The sequence below is a fragment of the Homo sapiens genome, chromosome 9 (assembly GCF_000001405.40).
Source record: "Homo sapiens chromosome 9, GRCh38.p14 Primary Assembly".
NCBI lineage: Eukaryota > Metazoa > Chordata > Mammalia > Primates > Hominidae > Homo > Homo sapiens.
In genome coordinates, this window is record NC_000009.12 from 61,343,193 (window position 1) to 61,367,250 (window position 24,058).

A 24,058-nucleotide genomic window follows, 5' to 3' on the forward strand; every position below is an offset into this window, starting at 1 on the left:
CTTGATAGTCTTTACAATTTGGCATGTTTTTGCGGTGGCTGGTACTGGTTGTTCCTTTCCATGTTTAGTGCTTCCTTCAGGAGCTCTTGTAAGGCAGGCCTGGTGGTGACAAAATCTCTCAGCATTTGCTTGTCTGTAAAGGATTTTATTTCTCCTTCAGTTATGAAGCTTAGTTTGGCTGGATGTGAAATTCTGGGTTGAAAATTCTTTTCTTTCAGAATGTTGAATATTGGCCCCCACTCTCTTCTGGCTTGTAGAGTTTCTGCCGAGAGATCCACTGTTAGTCTGATGGGCTTCCCTTTGTGAGTAACCCGACCTTTCTCTCTGGCTGCCCTTAACATTTTTTCCTTCATTTCAACTTTGGGGAATCTGACAATTATGTGTCTTGGAGTTGGTCTTCTCGAGGAGTATCTTTGTGGCATTCTCTGTATTGCCTGAATTTGAATGTTGGCCTGCCTTGCTAGGTTGGGGAAGTTCTCCTGGATAATATCCTGCAGAGTGTTTTCCAACTTGGTTCCTTTCTCCCTGTCACTTTCAGTTACACCAATCAGACGTAGATTTGGTCTTTTCACAGTCACATATTTCTTGGAGGCTTTGTTCGTTTCTTTTTACTCTTTTTTCCCTAAACTTCTTTTCTCGCTTCATTTCATTCATTTGATCTTCAATCACTGATACCCTTTCTTCCAGTTGATCGAATTGGCTACTGAAGCTTGTGCATGTGTCATGTAGTTCTCGTGGTTTTCAGCTCCATCAGGTCATTTAAGGTCTTCTCTACGCTGTTTATTCTAGTTAGCCATTCGTCTAATCCTTTTTCAAGGTTTTTAGCTTCTTTGCGACGGGTTCGAACATCCTCCTTTAGCTCGGAGAAGTTTGTTATTACCGATCATCTGAAACCTTCTTCTCTCAACTCGTCAAAGTCATTCTCCATCCAGCTTTGTTCCGTTGCTGGCGAGGAGTTGCGTTCCTTTGGAGGAGAAGAGGTGCTCTGATTTTTAGAATTTTCAGCTTTTCTGCTCTGGTTTCTCCCCATCTTTGTGGTTTTATGTACCTTTGGTCTTTGATGGTGGTGACGTACAGATGGGGTTTTGTGTGGTTGTCCTTTCTGTTTGTTAGTTTTCCTTCTAAGAGTCAGGACCCTCAGCTGTAGGTCTGTTGGAGTTTGCTGGAGGTCCAGTCCAGACCCTGTTTGCCTGGGCATCACCAGCGGAGGCTGCAGAACAGCAAATATTGCAGAATGGCAAATGTTACTGTCTGATTCTTCCTCTGGAAGCTTCGTCTCAGAGGGGCACCTGGCTGTATGCGGTGTCAGTCAGCCCCTACTGGGAGGTGTCTCCCAGTTAGGCTACTCAGGGGTCAGGGACCCACTTAAGGAGGCAGTCTTTCCATTCTCAGATCTCAAACTCCATGCTGGGAGAACCACTACTGTCACCAAAGCTCAGTCGGAAATTCAGAAATCACCTGTCTTCTGCATCATCCATGCTGGGAGCTGTAGACTGGAGCTGTTCCTATTCGACCATCTTGGATCCGGACCTGTCTATTTTCTTAGCCTTATGAGCTTTGTCAAAAGAGTGCAGCTTCTTCTGGTTTTTCTTATGAGTATACAAATATCTCTTTGATTGCATTTAGCAATGTTTGAAAGTCTTAATTTGTTCTGGGCTTTAACTTACTTTGCTTTATATTGCCTCCTTTTAATGTTCCTTTTCATTGTAAGTATTCCTTTTTTTTTTTCCGGTATGGAGTCTTGCTCTGTCACCTAGGCTGGAGAGCAGTGGCACAATCTTGGCTCACTGCAACCTCCGCCTCCTGGGTTCCAGTGATTCTCCTGCCTCAGCCTCCCGAGTAGCTGGGATTGCAAGTTCCCGCTACCATGCCCAGCTAATTTTTGTATTTTTACTAGAGATGAAGTTTCACCATGTTGGCCAGGCTCGTCTCAAACTCCTGACCTTGTGATCCGCCCATCTTGGCCACTGTGCCCAGCCTCACTGTAAATATTCTTTCCTTGGTTACTTTGCCCATTTCTCTCTTCTTCAGTGGAACATGTTTTTTCTGGATTTCATTTGGGTAGCTTTTCACATTTGATGAACGATGTTGTCCTCAATCATAACAACAGTGTCTCTTTGTATAGTGGTTGCTCGGAGGTCTACAAGGTAGTATTATGTAACATTTCCCATTGTGTTCTAAATACTCTTATCTTTTTAAGTTAAAAAATTGAAGTCAAAGCTGCCTCTAAAGTCACACACATAGCTTGAAATAATAGAGTTGAAATTTGGACATAAAACATATTGCCATGGGATAATGCCTGCTGTTTTCCTAAAGTTTTAAAATTATCTTTTTGACATCTCAAATAAACATTTGTCTATTGACAGGGCTCCTTCCTTGGGCACAATAAATTCTAAGATGTTCTGGTTATTATTTTCTCAAGGATTCTGACACTGCCCCCTTACTAATCATATTAGAGCCAAGTACGGAGTAGTGAACAAGTTCTGATAATTTGCAGGTATATTACTTTGGGCTGAAAAAAATCTAGCTGATGTCATTGGTCTTGTTGGGATCTGTCTTCAGAATGCAATTGGAGTGCATCTCTTAACCCTTACTTAAGTATCACTGAAGTTCTCTTTCTTCAGCTCCCAGATGCTCCGTAGCCTGCTCTGGCCTGTGAGGTCATGACGTCCCTTTAAGATGTTATAAGTTGAACACAGTCTTCTTTCCATCCCTCTGTAACATGTCTTGGGAAGAAGCCATATCCTTCTCATACCTTACGTTCTCATTCAGACGCTAGTTCTGTCAACTCTCAGAGGTGCATAGAAAGAATTATTATTATTTTTAATTTTTTTAGCTTTTAATTTTGTGGTTACATAGTAGGTGTATATATCGATGGGCTACATGAGATGTTTTGATACAGGCATGCAATGTGAAATAAGTGCATCAAGAAAAATGGAGTATCCATCCCCTCACACAATTATCCTTTGAGTTGCAAACAATCCAATTACACTCTTTAAGTTATTTAAAAATGTACAATTAAGTAATTATTGACTATAGTCACCTCTTGTGTTATCAAATACTGGGTCATTTTTTCTATTTTTTTGTACCCGTGGAAAGATCATTTATTGCCCTTTATTAGCAGCTCATCTTTATCACTTATATTCCCACAGCTGTGGATACATTCGTAATAACAATTATTAGTGATGACATCTCCACATGATTTTCTTTTTAAATTATATGCACCTGTGTTGTTGTATTTTTTTCTGTGTCGTGTCTGATGTCTTTCTGCAGGACTTAATTTTGTTATTTGGTTTCCTCTCTTTCTACTTAGCAGTAAGTCTCAAAAAAATAGGTTCATCTTATTCTCATATTATATACTTTAGCCAAAAATCTATAGTTTAAAAATAGGTATTGAATTTATCACAGAAGTATAATTTAACTACATAGCAAGAAATTTAGAAATAAAAGGAAAGAGAACAAGATCATCTATCCAGCTTCCTCAGGGAAAAGGAGCTGATCTATGTTTAATCCCTTCTGTGTTTCCAGAGCTGTGTTTGTTGGATTTAACACCCATTATCTCATCTCAATCCAGCAGATCTCTTTGTCCATTATCTTCTCATATGCAGATTTTCCCATCCCATCTCCTTCATCTCTCCACATGTTTAAATAGTTCTTATATTTATTGTTGTAATGACTGTAGAGTAGATCATCAAATTAAGATGCTTAAATTTATGTAAACTTGAGCGGGCATGGTGGCTCACGCCTGTAATCCCAGCACTTTGGGAGGCTGAGGCAGGCGGATCACGAGGTCAGGAGATCGATACCATCCTGGCTAACATGGTGAAACCCCGTGTCTACTAAAAATACAAAAAAAAATTAGCCTGGGCAACAGGGCAAGGCTCCGTCTCAAAAAAAAAAAAAAAAACTATGTAAACTTTCCTCTAGGTCTTCATTTGTGTTGTGTCTTTTGTAGTTCTCATAGAATAAAGTCCTTGGTCCTGGTATGTTAAAATTGGTATGCTGTTGTTATAACTTTATATTTGTAGTGCTGTAAGTCACTTGAAAACACCAATGTCAGGAGGTATTCAATGTTCCTATGCTAGGTTTTCTTTAACAAGTCAAAATATCATCTGGAAGGAGAGACAACGTGTAACTCCTATCTCCTACCCCCTGTAAATTCTAATTTATAGAATTTAAACCTGTTTCTATGTGTCTTCTTCCAGGCCTCATCTGTTCCCACAGGTAGACTGTAGGAATTGTCTGTCATGTCCCGGGAACCAGACACTCATCAGCTGGTCATGCCAGCCTCTCTTCCTCACCCCAGAATCATCAGTCAGCAGGCAAGGCTCCTTTCTCGGGAGTGAGGTTCTCCTGTTCCCTCTCATCCCCATCTGCCGCCACACGTGGCTGCTGTGTGGCTCCCCGTGAGTGAGGTGCTGCTCCTTCTCCAGAGGTGTAATTCATTTTCCATGAGACAGACCTCAGTATTTCAGAAGAGTAAGCCTTACTGGGGCCTTCACACATGTGAGAAGCCTTCAGAGCAGAGACAAAACTTGAGTTGAGCCCTGAAGATAATAAGTGATGGGAACTCGCAGACAGGAGGGGCTGCAATGTCATCGGGTGAGCGGTCAAGGAGCGTTGGTGCATGCATCCCACATTCAGGAAACAGTGAGAAGACCACTCCGATTAAAGGAGGAAGCACATCTGAGAAATGTGTAGGGGATTTGGCTGTAGTGCAGAGAGTGACAGGAAACAGGCGATGGAAGGAATTGAATGCCAGGACCTGAAATTTGAATTTCAGGACAGGTGCAGTGGGGATCCATTGGAGCTGGTTGATATGGCTGTTTGTGTGACTTGCACTCAGCAATAGTTTAAAACCGTTTCTGCTCTGGTGATACGTAAGGTGTGTGTGTGGCTGGGGACAGTCAATAAGGAAGCATTGGCTGTAAGGATTAGTTAGGTCGTTAACATGAGGACCTACAGTGAGATGATGATCATGATAATGGAAAAGCTGCCATATACACACAAAAAGTACATAATCCTTGGCAATTTATTGGCTGTAGAGGGAAGATAAGGGTGGGGGCTCAGGACAGTGTACTTATTGAGCATTTTTCAGTTTCAGGTGACCAAAATCTAAGATCAAATAGACTTGAACAATAAAGGGAACCAAAGTGTCTTGATTGAAGCCAGGCTGAATTTAGGCAATCAGATTCTTTCATCAGCAGTCTGCCTCTTTCCTTCTTGCAGTTTTATTTTCGTCTACAACTGGCCTCATTCTTGGGCAGCTCTGTCTATGCCATAGCTTCAGGCATACCGTTTACCAGCTTAGAAGCGTGACTGTTTTCCTTTATTTCTGTTCTTAGCAATGTTGAGTTCTACAGATATTATGCCTTTATTTGTTTATTCTACTCAGTAGGATAAGCTTCACAGGAGCAGAGACTTTTTCTGTTGTTTATGGTTATATCCCCAGAACATAGGGGCATACCTGGCACAGTATAGATTTTCAACAAATATTTGTTGAATGAATGAATGGGTATTTCTCCCAAGAGTTCAAGCCGAAAGTCCCAGGTTCTGCTGTTATTCATTCGAAAGTCCCAGGTTCTGTTCCCATTCATTCAGCATGGGCTTCCTGACCATCCTGGAACCAGTCCTTTCCAGTAGGACAGGCATGGCATTCAGTTGCCAGGCCTGAGGCGTGTCCCTGTGCTGGCCCCAGGTGGTAGGGTGAGCCCCCTTCAGACCCCATGGAGTGAGATGTAGGGAAGACAGTGACTGAAGATAATCGAATGGAGATCAAGACCATGTAAAACAGAAGTTTTTATATGGAAAAAAGTAGATTTTTACATTGACCATTACTGCTTATGTTCACTGTGAGTAAAATGTGCTTTTTCCGAAGCATTCCCTCTAGATAGCAATGCACAGATCAATTCAGATTCATAACAAGATGAACTTTTGGTACCTTCTAAATAAAAGCTTTATTTAACCTCTCATTAAGATAATGTTAAGGTACATTAAGAACTGAAAAGACAGGTGATGAAATGGGAAGAATGGAATAGCGCCGTATCCAGATGAACATCCAGACGTGGCCTGAAGAAGGTATGGGCACCCCCTTCCCTGTTTGTGATTCGATTCCCGAGGCCGTGCTCCCTACTGACTCAATATGTGGAACCAGAGAGAAGCCTGCTGTGGAGTTAGTGAATTTGACCTAATCGAGACAGTCTGAGAAAGGACAGGAATCTTTTTTTTTCTTTTTTTTTTTTTTTAGAACAAAGAGGTTTTCTATACATCTGTGATAACACAGTAACCATCTGTTGAACTCTTTAATAGTAGGCTTTGTGTTTTTCTGATAATTCGAAGGTGGTTAAGGTGCCGTCCCCTCATATTAGCAGTTCGGTGGCCCCTTCCCCTCTCCTTCCATCCTTAGGTTCCGCCAACACAGTGGTTAGCTCCTTTCACAGTGAGGAGCAAGTGCAGCCACAAGCATGGGGAGAGCCACAGCCTGGCAGAGTGGCTTAGCATCACGAAGCCCTTCTGAGAAGGAATTGAGTATCTGTGTGATTCAAAGGGATGTTAATCGTATTTTCATTGGAACTCTCCTGCATTTCCCCTAAAATATCCAATATGTAATTCCATATAAACAGTGTGTTCATTTCCTATGGCCCTTGTGAGAATTGACCATAAACTGGCTGACTTAAAGCAAAAGAATTTATTCTGTCATAGTCTGGAGACCAGAAGTTCCGCATCAGTATCCCTAGTCCAAAATCAAGATGGGCCACACTCCCTACGGAGGCTCTAGGGGGACATCCATTCTTCGTTTCTTCCGGCTTCCTGTGGTTGCCCATGTGCCTCACCTTGTGGGTGCCTCACTCCATTTTCACACCCTCTTCTCTTTTGTGTGGGGCTCTGTTCATCCTCACCTTTATCTCTCTTACAAGGGCAGTTCTGATGGTATTTAAGACCCAGCCAGATAATTCAAGATAATTTCCTCGTCTCAGGGTCTTTGATCACATCTGGAGAACCTTACCTTCTGAAGTAACCTTCACAGGGTCCCGGGATTGGGGCATAGACATATCTTTGGGAGCCACTGTCAGCCTGTCCTAACACATGTAAGATTCATCTCTGATAAAGGCATTCAACCACAAGTGCAGTGTGGTTTGGTCTTTTAATAAAATCCTTTAAGTAATACTGTAATGAATTCGGAGCTCCATCCGGAGATGCCAGGAGGTGTCCTCATTTGAATGTAAAGCTCCTCCCCATAGCATCAGTTGTCACCCCTCCTTTTGGCTTTTCCCATTTCCTCTGCAGATACGGACAAAATCTGTCCATGTATTATACATGCATTCTTTTTTTTTTCATTCTTATTATCAGATCCCAGAATAATGAATTGCTGTTTGAAAATGCATGGTTTATGTTTATCTTTTCCAGAAGCACTTTTATACGCATCTCTCCCTAGTAGTGTTTGCTCTTTCAGAGGCTGGTTTTGTTCCTAAGCAATTAAGATGCTTCCCTGTGTTTTGGAATAAATAGTAGTATCTAAATATTTTGCTCTTCTGTTTATTTCCTATAACAGATATTTACACATCTCCCTCCCATGTTAGATTCTGGACTTCTTGAACCTAGAACCATGTCTCTCTTTATGCCCCATAATGCTTTGCACATGGTAGGTGCTCAATACACTTTTATTAAATAAGTGCAAGAATTAACATACTCAAATGAAATGCTGTTTTGAAAAGTATATCATCTCTGTCTTAGGTAAGGGCAATTCCTCAAATTGATTTTTTAATCATTTCATATTCATGTGGTAAAAATTGTCGTAAACTAGCACATCTGTGAATGCAATGTTGATTTGTATACAGGAAGCCCTTAGGCTAATTTTAATCTTCTGCTGTCTTTCATGAACATAATACTAAGAAATGGTTTCTGTCCCAAACCCTTCATAGGCACCATGCTGGGAATCACAAAGCATGCTGGGAATACTTGTCAAGGAGAAGTGGGAAGCTAAGAGTGATGCCAGGCAGGGGTCAGGGGACAAATCAAGACCATAGAGTGGGGAGAGAGGAACCTAGGCAGAGCTAATCGCCGAGACTAAATCAACAAGCCTAGGGAAGTGCAGCAAGCCAGAAACCCTCTGGTCTAGCGTGATTTGGAAAGGCAGAGCAAGTTCCTGCAATGCTCAAGTTATCAGGCAAAAAGGAGGAGCCTCCATCTCCTGTAGGCAAGTAGCCCGCAGTGATTCCCTCTGGAGGGGTCTACAGAGTGGGCTTTTTCCAGTTCATCACTACAGGTGTTGCCTTTCATGGGTCCTGGCTTCACGCAGGTAACTCTGACCTGAACACCTGGTGCATTTCACTTTTCCCATCCCCCACAGGTTCTGTGCTGGGGCACTGTGAGAATTTCTAGCCGCTATTGAGGTTTGGGCACACAATTCACACTACCTCTGTGTGTGTGCACCTAAAGAACCTAAGCATCAAATTGAGTTTAAAGTAGTGTTGGATGGGTGATGTACCCAGACATCTTGCAGAATTGAGAAAATGTGGGACATTAGGGAACTTTGAGGGCTAATGGACCTGTTTTATGTCTTCATTATGGTGGAGGTTACAAGGCTGAATGCATTTGTCAAAATGAATAGAGCTGTACACTTTAAAAACATCAGATAAATTCTCTGGAATTTTACTCTCTGTAAATTATACTGCAATGTAAATTTTAAAAATTGTAAAAAATTAAAAAAGGAGTGATGATTGCCATACATCCTAGAATATATTCATATATATTTTTGGACTATTATTTCTCCCAAGCTGCAATCTGAGTGTTAACCATATCACGGTATTTTTCCCGGCAGCTGACTGTGATGCCCCACTGGCCTCTGCCTTGCCTAGGTCATCCTTCAGCAGCTCCTCAGAGCTGTCCAGCAGCCACGGCCCGGGGTTTTCAAGGCTTAATCGAAGAGATGGTGAGTCTGCCTTTTTCCTTGTATTGCTCCTTGGTGACTCTCATTGGATTTTCATTTAACAAAATAATTATAATTCATTTAACAAAATAATTATAATTATAATTATAATTGATTAATACTTTGCAGAAGGAAGTAAAATTCAGAATAAGCATATTTGTTCACATTTGAAACTCCAAGAATGTATTTGACAGGAATAAGTTGATCACTTCGGCTTTCTGGTCCTGCTGGGTTTCCCTTGGTACGATCTTTGTGTGCCTTGAACATGTCACACCTGACTTTGACAGTGTTTGAACTCTTTGTATACCCCTTGCAATATCTGAGTATTATTTATCGAAGACCTTAGATTCTGTCATGTCCTTTTTTTTACCTTGGATTCTTTTGTTCTGCCACAGTATACATTTTGTTGTCCCAGATTATTTAATTATCCCTATTTGGATGAGAAAATTGGCAAAGTAAAGAAGCGTCTAAAAAGATTTTTATTATGTTTTAACTACAACTCTTAGTTTATTTCTTATTATGGCGGACTTGATTCTCTCCTTAGCATCCACTGTAGAGAAATAACCATGTAAAATGGTTTATTCATGCTCCACTGTGACTATTCTTTTGTGTGGGGCTCTGTTCATCCTCACCTTTATCTCTCTTACAAGGGCAGTTCTGATGGTATTTAAGACCCAGCCAGATAATTCAAGATAATTTCCTCGTCTCAGGGTCTTTGATCACATCTGGAGAACCTTACCTTCTGAAGTAACCTTCACAGGGTCCCGGGATTGGGGCATAGACATATCTTTGGGAGCCACTGTCAGCCTGTCCTAACACATGTAAGATTCATCTCTGATAAAGGCATTCAACCACAAGTGCAGTGTGGTTTGGTCTTTTAATAAAATCCTTTAAGTAATACTGTAATGAATTCGGAGCTCCATCCGGAGATGCCAGGAGGTGTCCTCATTTGAATGTAAAGCTCCTCCCCATAGCATCAGTTGTCGCCCCTCCTTTTGGCTTTTCCCATTTCCTCTGCAGATACGGACAAAATCTGTCACCCAGGCTGGAGTGCGGTGGTGCAATCTCAGCTCACCGCAAGCTCTGCCTCCTGGGTTCACGCCATTCTCCTGCCTCAGCCTCCCAAGTAGCTGGGACTACAGGCACCCGCCACCAGGCCCGACTAATTTTTTGTATTTTTTTTTTTTTTTAGTAGATACGGGGTTTCACCATGTTAGCCAAGGTGGTCTGGATCTCCTCACCTCCTGATCCATCCACCTCGGCCTCCTGAAGTGATAGGATTATAGGCGTGAGCCTGTAACCGCGCCCAGCCTTTTTTTTTTTTTTTAACTCCCTGTTGCATTTCTTGGTGTTTTCTGTATTTGAGCACATTTAATGCATTGCACATTGGACCAAATAAATATGTTCTGGCATTTGTTATAGGCAGTATGGCTATGAAACATGAACAACTTAACTTTTTGTTTTTCTGTTTATGTTTCTTAAGTCTGTGATTTCATTTGTTGCAGAGATATGGGCTCTGTTTTGTTACTTTAGATTCTATTGCTGCAGAGCCTCAGTGGATGGTCATTATCACTGAAACAGTGACTAAGCCTGGGCACAGGGGGTAAAGGAAAACAAGAGCAATCTCAAGCCATAGCTCTTCTTGATGTCAAATCATATTTTGTACTAAAGTACATGATTATGAGGATTCTTTATCATAGGGATCATTTTTATTCTTAGTTCATGTTCCTGTAACTCCTCGTGCAAAAAAGCATGATATCAATCTTAATAAAATTTATTTTCATGTTAATGAAGTTAGAAAAACAGGCTTACTTTAGTTAGCTATCAACTGAGTTTATTACAAATTCATTGTTGTTGCTTTTTTTAATTGGTTTTGACTTTTTTCTTCTCCCTCATGGTAGCCTGGAGTATTCATCAAAGGAGTTCCAAATTGGGAGTGATTTATTGAAGGCTATAGATTATCTCTAGTGTTTTATTATCCTTTATTAGATTCAGAATGGTCTATGGAAGAGTGACTGAACAAATGTTCTGATCATAAATAATTAAACTAACAAATAATGACCCCCTGTCTCAGACATTAAAGCCTTTCTCCAGTGGAGTGTAAAGATCTCAGAGCTAAAAATTAACAGGCAGAAAACAAGTAGTTTCCCTGTTGTGCAGCCCAGTGCCTTGTACCCATGTGATGGGAAGACGCCATGGAAACAGCTGCGATAGTTACTCAAGCCTTAGCCTGAGGGGTGAGAGGGGAACAAGGTAGCTATGCATCCCGTCTGTCCCAGTGTAAAGAATCAAAATGGACTTTTTGGAGGTGTCTTTCTTCATGCCTCTTGGATACCACAAGTAAACTAGTTCTTCCATGCCACTAAATGATGAACCCATGGGCCAAACAAGTTAATGCACTTTTATAAGCAACTTATTTAATTCCCTTTAATGGGGAAGACTCAGTTTTTCCACCAAAGGTTTCATAAGTTATGAAGCATAATCCAGAATTACTTTCAACTTGTAAAAATGTATTATCATGAATATTGCACAGATTGGATTATAACTAATTAAATATGTTTTTGCTTTCTACATCTTCATAGTTAGAATTTCAGTATAACCTCTAACATGGTATTGGCTAATTTGAGGATAAAGTGACCTGTTGTAAATTTATTTATTTATTTATTTATTTATTTATTTATTTATTTATTTATCGAGATGGAGTCTTGCTGTGTTGCCAGGCTGGAGTGCAGTGGTGCAATCTCGGCTCACTGCAAGCTCCACCTCCTGGGCTCAAGTGATTCACCTGCCTCAGCCTCCCGAGTAGCTGGGACTGCAGGTGCCCGCCACCACACCAGGCTAATTTTTGTATTTTTAGTAGAGGAGGGGTTTCACCATGCTGGCCCAGATGGTCTCAATCTCCTGACCTCGTGGTCTGCCCGCCTCGGCCTCCGAAAGGCGTGAGCCACCGCGCCTGGCCGACCTGTTGTAAATTTAAGAGGCTAAGGGTCAGTGTGCATTTCTACACCTTTCACATTGCATCACTTGAAGCTAAGAAGAACTCTGTGGTATATTACATGTAAAAATAAGACTGAAATAAGCTGACAAAGACTTAGGGCAAAAAAATAAGGTTTTGAGTAGAATTGAAGAAAACATTTTGATAATAATATCAAAGAAATTCCGAGATGCCATTGAAACCATTTAATTATTTAAACATGTTTGTTATTCCTTTTTCTGTAACTTCTTCTGACACTAATCGAAAATTTCAGAAAATTAACCTATAGTTTAAAATGTTTAAAATATGAGACTTCAAACGATACACTGGCACATAGTAAATTCTTAACATTTCAAAATGAATAATGAATGATCTGTATTAGGAAATGAAATCTTTATATGATACACACATACAGTTGTAAAACTTGGTTTTCTCCATAATCAATAATTGGCTTTCAGAGGCAATTTAATTATGCAATGGTTGTCCTTAGTTTTATTATACTTTATAATAAATGGATCGATGCTTTGTTTAGTTGACAAATACAGACATAGGTGAATTAATTTTACCTTTTTCCTTAGGCCTGTCTTCTCATGTGCTTATAGCTGTGTCTGTGTCAAATGAATTTGTGAAAATATAATCTCTTATTTTAGACAATTTCAACAATTAATAAACACTGTGAAGTTGTTATTCCATGACTGTTTGAGATGGAAAACCAGCCGTTTTGGGTATCATTCACATACTGGCTAAAGACATACATTTATTTATGCATTTGCTGCCCTGTGTCTCCTCTGCATTTATTATATTAGCAGTTTCAGTTTAAAGTTTATTTTTCTGTAATTCAGATTCCTTGCTTCTTATGCTGGTTGTCATATGAATATGCCTTTCTAAGATTAGGATAAAACTCTCTTCTTGGTGTTTTCTTTCAGTCCTATCTTGAGTTATTTTTAATCAAAATGCTAGGCTGAGGTCAACTGATTGTAATTTGTTTATAAGGAAAAAATGGAAGGTGACCTGAAGAATTTTCTCTCCTCCCTTTACCCAAAAGTATTTATTCTTATTTTGAAATGAGAAATTCCTTCAGAATTTCCCAAGATCAAAGAGGGCTATCTCACTGACAGCTAAGACCCTGTTGTCTTCATCTGTAACTTGGCTAGTCTTATCCAAAAGAGGCCTCTTCTGGGTTGGAATTGCATTTAGTTTTAAATAAACAATTATGCAGAAAGTGCTTCTTCCATCTTATTAAAATTTCAGAGTTAGAAGAAAAGGCATCTGAAGTTTCCAAGTAGAACTATAACAGACCTAGTGTTTTTTAGTATCCCCATAAGTAAGCATTCTAGCATAAGGGAGGGTTTGCTGGTTGCTCATTGAATGTTGTCTTGGCCACTCACAGACCAACACATGATGAGTGTGAGATAAACTCTTTGGTCTAAAGAGAGAAAACATAAGAGTCTGCAGCTGTAACATGTCTGCTGACCCAAGCTGGAATGCTTTAGTGTATTGTGTCACCTAGTGAGTTTTAGGATTTCCCTCCCCACTTATGAGTTTTCCACCTCAGGTTAAAGGAATGTGGGATATTAAGGAGAATTATTAAGAGAGAAAGGGCAAGCATTTGGAAATGCAAAACCTAGACAAGGTGGAGATGATTTACTGGAGTCAGAGAGGAATTAATAGCGTATTAATATCAACATCATTATGGCCCACATGCATCTATCATGCTCTCTAGTATTGTGTCCAAGGTCCATAGATGGTCACTGTCTTATTATATCCCTGATCATACTAGCTTCACCAGACTTTCAGGTCACCCAGGGGCTACATCTCTTAGACAGCAGAATATTAAGATAATGGAAAACAATAATAAGTTATGACAGTGTGTGAAAAACATGAAAAAGATTTTATATTCTCTCACGATAGATGTGATTCAAGATGCTACTGCAATAAATTAAACAATACATATGCTTTTTTGCAAGGATAACCCCATGTGTTTTCATGGTCTAACGAAGTTAGACAGCATTGTTATTTGTGGCTTGACACCTCTGCAATTGCTCCTTTTTAAAGTCGCAAAATGAATGTACAATAACTAACCATGCGTTAGACCGAAGGAGAGTTTGAGAATTTTTTCAAGGGGCCTTCACTAATGAAGCAAGCTGTCTCATTTGGGGATCTGTAAGCAGCAAAGATAAACATTGCCTAAGACATTTCTGTTGAAATGGCGTAAAACACATGGATTACTTACTTCTTCAGGGATTTTAAATACTTGGAAACAATGCAGTGAACACAGATATTACTGTGAAGAACATTTCAGCAAATGAGTTTACAAAATGGATGAAACCGAAGAAGCGTCTTATGTTTATAGCTTCTCACCTGAAGAGATTAACTATATGGGTGGACCTCATCAACGTTTGAAACTTTCTTTCCAAGAGGTTTTTCCTGTAGAATTTTAGGACTTTCTGGGAAGATGCATGACAGATGCATGCCATTGTTGATGGTGTGGGTCACTGTGGAAACTGCCCTAATGAGGCCATTATGCTGCCTATTTGTGATATTTGGTTATGAGTTGATGACAATATTGTAGATAAAATAGACACTCAAGCTGTTGAAAAATTTTACAGGTTGTCATCAATTATCACTTAGAACTTTTTTCTCAATTTTCTGAGTGAATGAGGATTGTGTTTAAAAAGATACTTTCTGCCTCATTTCTTCTCCAGTTATTTTGAAAAAGCTCAGGTACTGATTTCTTAGGAAAAGAGGAAAGCAGGGAAACTAGAGGCGGGAATTTGTGCTGCACACAACCTAGCCACGAATCTGGGTGCACCAGCCCTTCGGATCTGGGCAGGTAAGCATTTGCCCAGGTATCAGGCTGCCTGTGTGGCTCCACAGAACAAAGATGGGGAAGCAGAGGCATCAGCTTCTCTTATAGCACAGCACACAGCCTTCCAGGAGTGGATACACACTTTCTTTCTATTATTAGCCCAAATAATTATCTCAACTCAATAGAAAAAATAGCAATCTGTGCCTGATTGTCCTGAAAATGTTTCATTAATTTACTTGTATTCAGTGAATATAAAACCATAGTTGGTGGTTTTTCAGTAAGTACAGAAAACATATTTGGTGGGTTGTTTTCCATGCAGAGTGTAAATATTGTAGGGCCAAAGTCTTAGTTATCTGTTTTTTTTGCTGTTGGTTTTTTTTTTTTTTTTTTTTTTTTTTGGAGACAGAGTCTCGCTCTGTCACCCAGGCTGGAGTGCAGTGGCGTGATCTCTGCTCACTGCAAGCGCCACCTCCCAGGTTCACGCCATTCTCCTGCCTCAGCCTCCCAGGAAGCTGGGACTACAGGCACCCACCACCACGCCTGGCTAACTTTTTTTTTTTTTGTATTTTTAGTAGAGACGGGGTTTCACCATGTTAGCCAGGATGGTCTCAATCTCCTGACCTCGTGATCCACCTTTCTCGGCCTCCCAGAGTGCTGGGATTACAGGCATGAGCCACCACGCCCAGCCTAGTTATCTTTTTGATGGAATAAAACTACAGAGGATAGATTCCAGTGTCAGTAAGACAAAGAGTTTCTGCTTCTCTGAGGAAGTAAGTTTGCTATGTAGACACACACACAGAGAAAATGGTCAAAAGTTGCTTTTATAAACTCCAATAATCAATTTTTTTACATTAGCACCTTACTCCATGAAGATCACAGTATATGAATACAAAATAATATGTATGAATGTTGATTTGTGGAAAAAAATCTTAGAGTTATCACTCCCTCCTTTTTCCAAATTCTGTGTATTGTCTGTTGAAACAGTTCATGCTTATGATTCTAATACATCATTTCCATGGATCTCCCCCTCAGCTTAGTCTCTTCATGTCTCACTTGGATTATTTTGAAAGTCCCATGATCGAACTTCAACTTTTGAAGCTTTCCCTAATTAAATAAATGCTTAGCAAAGTCCTCAGTTAATGTTCTTTAAAGTGCTATTCTCTTCTTGTTCCATGCTCAGTTGATGAATCTCAGACACTAACCCCATAGAGCAGTTCTCAAATTCACAAGCCACCTAATGCCCACTGCCATACGTAAGAAGGTGGTCTAGTAAATTTTGGAGTAAAGGCAATATATATTTCACAAAATCAAAATGTAAGATCAATTACAATTCAGCTAATATTTAATTAGGATATAAGGCATCTCAGTGAATGCATTTTTAGTTTCTGAAGTATGTAATTTTTTTTTTAGATTTGTACTTAGCTATTCTTACTAAATTTCGGAAAGTTCCTGCTTTATGGACATGAATCAGTGACTCTAAATGGTTCTTTGAGGTATAAAAACAAAGATAGTAACAAATACAAATTTCACAATCTGAACTAGAAAACATTACTAGTGACCACAACTCAAATACTAATATAAAAAGCATCTTTATTAACCTGGGGTAAAAGCTTCTCTGCGTGGGGCAATTTTACCCAGGCAACTGAACAGGCGGTGCGGGATGAATGTTTGAAAATTGGAACTAACTTGGACGCACTCATCCCCATTTTCCATGCCTGCTGTGCACTCCTGCCAGATGGGAACATGATGTCATATTTTCAGTCAGTTTTCAAACAAAATGGGGATAATCTAATATTTTCTGGAATAACCATAGAATAATGTTTTCCAATGTGAACTTGGTGAATTTTATGAATGAAAGAGAAGCAGATATTGGATCCACACAGCCATCATTGAAGGTGGTACACCTAACATCAAAAACTTCTGTGCGGGACCGGGCAGGGTGGTTCACGCCTGTAATCCCAGCACTTTGGGAGGCTGAGGCGGTTGGATCACCTTGAGCCCAGGAGTTGGAGACCAGCCTGGGCAACATCAAAACCCTGTCTCTATTAAAAAAAAAAAAAAAGAAAAAAAGTTTCATGCCGCTGTTACGGACTAGGAATGTCTAAAATCCATCACAAAGTTAGTATTTTGCTTGGAGGGGCAAGTAGAATGAGCTTTTGGAAAGTTTCTTTAACAATTCTTTGATCTAGTAATTCCTGAAAACCTTTGAGGCTGGTGAAAATACTTTTTCATGTAGGGATGAATCATTCTGTGAGTCCTGGCGTAAGTCAGCCAGAAACTCATGATGGGAGCTTTTGATGAGGGGATATGAGGTTTAAAAATGGAAATCAAAACTTTCTTCACGACACTGATAATTCCTATAAAGGCCATTTCTGTGTGGGATGACATGTACAATTAACATAAATGACCCTGCTTCCAAGCTCACTGAATTTTTTCGCCAGTGCCCTCAGACCTCCGTCTTTGCTCCTAACTCAGATTGTCTTGAGTCTTCTGTAGAGAGAAAAGGGGATCATTGCAGAGACTGTGAACCAAGGCATTAATCTTCACTTCTGAAGTCCAAAAGCATCTTTTGGTCTGAGGTAGAAAAAGTTTGAAAGGGAATTGAGCAGGCTAAAGGTGTTTTAATTTTTCTGCTATCTCGCAGACTAGGAACCCTCAGCAGGACTGCACGATAGGATGCATAGAGAGGTGGGGACTGCCCTGAAGCTCTGCTCTCAAGCAGAGCCTTGCCGGTGGTGGCTTAATGGAAGTCTTCACTGAAGCTCAGGGATCTGAGTGGGCACTCTCATGTGTGTAGTGGAAAGGAGGACGCCAGTCTCCAAGAGCAGCCTGCACGGCATCCTCGTTGTGCTGCGGCACATTCAGTGACAGGACTGGACGCCCTGCTGCAGCTCTGGTGGCCGGTGAGGACAGCCCCAGTTATCCAAGGACACCCTGAGGTACCAAAGGCAGGTGAGCAAGACCATGTTCCTGCCTGAGGTCTGGCAGAGGGAGGAGAAAGGGTCACCAAAACGTTGTGGAGAGCACTGTCCCAGCCTGGGATGGGAGGACTTGGCTCCATCGGCAGCAGGTCGCCATCCCTGAGGACAGTGCAGTGCTGACCTCTACTTGGGGCTTGAACACACTCCCCTCCCCGCTTTACCAAGGCAATTAGCAAAGCCAGAAGAGACCAGAGTTAACTCTGGGGATGAAGGGGAAGTAAAAGAACCCCTGAAGGAATTTTCAAGGGTCTGCGACCAATACAGACACGAACTGACAGGCTTATCCCTTAACTGGACAGAGACACCTGCTGTGACTACTTCCAGTCTGTGTATCAGCCAGAATTCCAGCTCCTACTAGAAAGCTTTCTGGGTTATGGAGAAATGAAGTTACATTTTCCCTCATGAGTTTGTGATTTAAAAATTTATACCTGCAGAATGATTCTGACGGATTTGCTCAAGTGGCTTTTGTCAGGGTTATAGTCCGTATCTTCTCTAGCCTCAAATTAATGTGATGTTGTTGAGGATGACTTAAAATTTTCTTTGAAAGTCTGAAACATGATGCAGAATGCTTGCACCAAAAGAGTTTTACATTTCCCCCACGCTTGTACTTACTAGAGCCAAGTACATCAAAGGTGTGGATTAAAACCCGTGATGCAGGGAACTCTGACACTTGTGATAACATGGATGAACCTGGAGGACATTATGTTAAGTGAAATAAACCAGGCACAGAGAGACAAATACCATATAGTCTCACTTACATGTGGAATTTAAAGACAGTGCTCACAGGAGTAGAGAGTAGCATGGTGGTTACCAGAGGCTAGAGGAGAGGGTGGATAGGGAAGGGGGAGATGTTGGTCAGTAGGTACATAGTTTTGGGTAGATAGGAATAATAATTTCTGTTGTTCTTTTGCACAGCATAGTGAATGTAGTTAATAAGTGTTGTCTGTTTTGAAATATATGAGAGGATTTTAACTATTCTCACCGCTAAAAGAATGATACATATTTGAGGTGACTGATATGCTGATTAGCCTGATTCGATCATTTTACAGTGTATGCATGTATCCAAACATCACATTGCACCTCTTAAAAATGTACAATTATTATTCATCAATTAAAAATAAAATTTAAACATGGGAGTTAGCAAACTTCTGCTGTAAAGAGACAGATGGAAAATGATTTTGGTATTGTGGACCATGTAAGGTCTCTGTTACATTTCTTTTTTTTCTTTTTTCTTTCTCTGTCTTCCTTCCCTCCCTCCCTCCCTTCCTCCTCCTCCTCCTTCCTTCCTTCCTTGCTTTTTTCCTTTCCTCTTTTTTTCTTTTCCCCTCTTCTCTCTTTCTCTTTCTCTTTTTGAAACACAGTCTTGCTCTGTTGCCCAGGTTTGGAGTACAGTGGCAAGATCACAGCTTAGTGTAGCCTCAACCTCTGTGGGCTCAGGTGATCCTCCCACCTCAGCCTCCCGAGTAGCTGGGACCACAGTCACATGTCATAACACCCAGCGAACATTTATATTTTTTGTAAAGATGGGATCTCATTATGTTGCTCAGGCTGGTCTTGAATTCCTGGGCTCAAGCAGTCCAGCCACCTCAGCATCCCAAAATGTTGGGATTACGGGCCTGAGCCACCATACCCAGCCCCCGCCCTCTTTTTTTTTTTTTTTTTAAACGCAACGCTTTACAAATGTAAAACCATTCTTAGTTCTCTGGCTGTGTAAAGCAGGTCATAATCTAGATTTTGGCTGCCAGACCTAATCTAGATTTTTACTAAGCCTGCATGCTAAATATGTCTGGCACTTTCCCTTAAAAAGCTCTCAGCATTTATCACATGCCAGTGTGCTTACTAGGTATTTGTATACTTTTCTTACGGTTTGTGCAATTCTAACTTCCTTGAAGGAAGTGTGCTATCTTATCCTTAGTGATTAGGGATAAGCTTGGAATCATCCAGGCTCTACCCCTTACTAGCTGTGTGACTTTGGACAAATTCCTTTATCTCCCTGAGTTTTTGTTTCCTCAGTTATAAAATGGGATTAGTAAAGTACCTATCATGAAATAGTTAACTTGAGTAAAATAGGTTGTGAAGATTAAATGAATTAATACACATAAAATAATTAGGTTATGTTACGCCAATGTTCAGAGCAGATGTATCCGCAAGAGCCAAAAGAGAAACAACCCAAATTTCCATTGATGGACAAACGGAGAAGCCTAGTGCAGTGTAGGAAGAAAATTCTGGCCCGTACTGTAACACAGATGAACTTTCAAGACATTATGCTAAGGAAAATAAGCTAGACACAAAAGGACAACTACTACGTTATTCATTTATATGAGGTACCTAGAGTAGTCAAATTCATAGAGACAAGAAATAGAATAGTTGTTGCCAGGGGCTGGTAATGGAGGTTATTGTTAGTGGGTTCAGCGTTTTCATTTGGGAAGGTGAAAGAGCTCTAGAGATGGATGGTAGTGATGGTTGCACAACGTGAATGTACTTAATGCTACTGAACTTTACATATAAAACAGTTCAAATGGTAAATTTCATGTGTATTACCATAATTAAAAAATTAGTATATGATCTGATCCAAAGTAGCTAAAATCTACTGAGTGCTGCTGAAGCAAAAATTATAATTAGTAGATTTTTTTTATTTGTTTTGTTTTGTTTTGGTTTTTGAGATGGAGCCTCACCCTGTCACCCAGGCTGGAGTGCAGTGACATGATCTCAGCTGACTGCAACCTCCGCTTCCTGGGTTCAAGTGATTCTCCTGCCTCAGCCTTCTGAGTAACTGGGATTACAGGTGCGCGCCACCACGCCTGGCTAATTTTTTGTATTTTTAGTAGAGTCGAGGTTTCACCATGTTGGCCAGGCTCAACTCCTGACCTCATGATCCGCCTCGGCCTCCCAAAGTGCTGGGATTACAGGCCTGAGCCACCGCGCCCGGCAATTAGTAGTATCAACAGTGGGAGTAAAAGTGGCAGTTAAGCACATTGTTTCACAACATCTAGCTCAGAGCCATGACAAAGCAAACATTAAATAATATGTATAGATGGAATTAAACTTAAGCTTCTGTAGTAGAATAATTCAGAATAAAACATGAAATAATGCCAGGTAATGTCAGTTGTTACCAAAGAAATGTCCAAACTCTGAAAGAGCTTGTTAAATTAGGTTATGGCAGCCCACGGTGCAGGGGAGGGGACCGTCAGGTGATGTTTAAGTAGTTTACATGGACTGAATCCCCTATGGTTCCATTTAAATTGGCCACCGCACTGCCAGGCATATGACATTGGCAACTTAAACTCGACAGAGAAACCTCTAAGAATAAGATTAATGCATTTCTCATTCTCTGTGTCACAATTATTCAATTTAAAAAAAACAGGAAAATATCAAAAATCTTTTTATGAAATGGCTGTACCAGTTTTACCTTCTATAGTATAAATGCAATATGGCTTTTGGTGCATTTAAATTAATTTTATAAGGAGTCGCAATCAGCTGATGAGTAGTTTTAGAATTGTTCCCATAATTGTCAACCTGGAGAGCTCTTCACTATTTTATTCATACTTCACTGAAAACTAAAGTTCAATTTTATGCCTAATTTTATACATAACGTGTTGTAAAACATCACCATTTGGGTGATGTGTGTATATGTGTATTTTCCTTCCAATAGGATATATATGTGTATTTTCTATTTTATAACTAGCTGACACAGGACCATTCTCATAATCCCATTTGATTTTTGTATTTGTCAGTAGATATAACAATCTCCCTTTGGTTCAGATTGAAAAAACGGAAAATGATGATGATGATGATGATGATGATTGTTGACTGTGCTGATAATTCTTTGTATACCATTATTTTAGCTTTAAGCTATTTTAAGTGTGGTCCAGTACAAAAGCTGCTTAAGTCAGATACCCCAGTCTCTATGATGTGATTATTATGTATTACATGCCTGTATCAAAATATCTCATGTACCCTATAAATACATACAACTACTACATACCCACAAAAATTAAAAATTAAAAAGGAAAATAAACCAGAAAAAAGTCAGATTTTTAAAAAATTTTACATTTCATTATATTTAGAAAACTTAGCTTTATGGGGTTTTAGAGAACATGGTTTTTCTTCCATGTACCTTCCTATTTATTTTTTATGATGCTCAAAGTTGCTTAGTTTCCACATATTTTAGTAAGAATTAGCAATGCCCTGAATTCCATAGCTTTCATAAAGAATTACCTGTGTACCATCTCATCACCACCTCTTTCCTATTACAGGAAAGCAATAAGAAGATATTCTTTAGTTAATTTAGATTGCTTGCCAAAATAGTTTTAAACTGATTTGTAATTTTTCCTAAAACAGAATGAGGAATTGTATAAAGTATTAATATATATGAAATTGTCACACTGCGTTTCAGATGCTTAGGAAATGTAGAGAAATTATTGTAAAATACATTTTAGAAAAGATATTGCAACAAGACGAGGACAGAAGTCTGTGAAGTGTTGTGAGGAGGGCCCAGGGAAGCAGGAGGAAGGTGGGGAGACCACAGGATGACCTGGAGCCAAAGAAGAAGGGCCCAGGTCCCAGGGTCTCTACAGCACTGCCGGCCTTCCAGCCACAGTTTTTCTCAATCTTCCTGTCATATCCCTGAAGGAAGTAAGTGGACATTGTAAAGAGCGAGTAATTATAGCACAGCAAAAATCAAAAGTCATGATTCTGGAAAGCATTATCAGTAAAAAATGGAGAAATAGTTGACATCTCTTCATGTTTCCTCTGGAAATTTCTGATTATGTATGTATACTCTTCCACTCTAATATCCAAACAACTCTCTTACTTCTTTATGCAAAGAAACATGAAAGAATGAAAAGGTTCATCACAAGTGTATGATTAATTTTGTATATATAATTTTGCAAATTAATAGATTTTAATGTGTTCAATAAATCTACATAAATACACAACACATATGTATATATCTGTGTGTGTGTATGTACTGTGTACTAAATATATACTATATGTGTGTGTGTGTGTGTGTGTGTATATATATATATATTTAGAGAGAGTCAGTGTGTACTTAATAGTCAAATCCAAATTTCAAGAACTTTATATTTTATATAATGGCACCAGTTTTCCTGAAGCTGAATGTATGTGTGTGTGTGTGTGTGTGTGTGTGTGTGTGTGTGTGTATTCAGTTGCAGGAATATATACATATATACGGTCAGTGTGAGTGTGTGTATATATATATATACACACACACACACATATGTCAGTACATACATGGTCAGTGTGTGTGCATATAAGCACACATATATATGTCAGTACATATACACATATACATATATGTTAGTATATACTGACTGTATACTGACTATATATAGTCATAGTCATATATACTGACTATAGTCATAGTCATATACTGACTATATGTGTCAGTATATACATACATATATATTTCAGTATATATATGTATGTATACTGACATATAGGTATAGTCAGATTGTGTATATTCAGCTGCAGGAAAATTGGTGCCATTATATAAAATATGAAATTCTTGAAATTTGGATTTGACTATTAAACCTGACTTTGTTGTCATTAAGTTTACATTGATATTTCCTGGAATTGCACATTGCTAAATTTTTCTGCAAAACCAAGATTTCTAAAATATGATGGGGCATTTGATACAAGAAAAGGCAAATAAAGAAAAAGTAGAGCTCCATTTGTCATTCTTCTTAAGTGTCTCCTTAAGAAAACTATGTGATCCAAAGTTATTTAGACAAAAGCTTAAGAAATAAAACACTTAGTAACTCATGCTAGTACTTGATTGTTCTTTTGCTTATCAAGTTTTCTTCTTTTTATGATTATTATACCTTTAATTGCGAACATTCATTGGATTGGCTCAGTAGCATTTTATGTGAGACAACTTTCCATTTTAATAAGTACATATTCTCCTTCGTTAATGTGAAATAGAAGTGCAGGAGTAGGGATGAAATGGATAATTTTGCTAGAAGCAAATTGAAACTGGCTAGGCAAAAGCGTATATGTATTTTGCCCTCTTTTTCTGTTTTTAGAAAGTGCTTGCGTTAACTCTCATTCTCAGCCAGAAGCGTTAATGATTCAAACGGGCTTTATATATTGAAAACCATGAACTCTCACGTGCAGAGTACAATCAGGGAGCAAGCCCGTGGGTTTGAATGGAAATTAACGTTGGTGTATGGGAATGAATTTCGTAGACAAGGATAATTTAGAAACCTGTGTGCTAAACTGCAAACACAGAGCAAATGGAAACATACTGGATCTTTTCCCTCCACTCCTCGAATTTCTCCACTATTCAGATGTCCTTCCATGTGATCATGCTTTCTTGGCACACTGACTAGGTTCAGTGATTAAGA

The 24,058-nt window shown here is 39.5% G+C and overlaps 1 protein-coding gene and 1 pseudogene across 6 annotated transcripts in view; both read left to right on the top strand.

Annotated features, from left to right (window-relative positions):
• Positions 1-24,058, top strand: part of CNTNAP3C (contactin associated protein family member 3C) — a 131,026-nt gene that overhangs the window by 12,752 nt on the left and 94,216 nt on the right. For all 6 annotated transcript variants that reach the window (XM_011545672.4, XM_017015380.2, XM_011545674.3 and 3 more), the window contains exon 2: positions 8,822-8,932. In XM_011545672.4, the coding sequence (XP_011543974.1) occupies positions 8,822-8,932 (111 nt within the window). The remainder of the gene's footprint in view (positions 1-8,821; positions 8,933-24,058) is intronic.
• On the top strand, positions 13,995-14,537 carry LOC100420438 (ubiquitin specific peptidase 12 pseudogene; annotated as a pseudogene).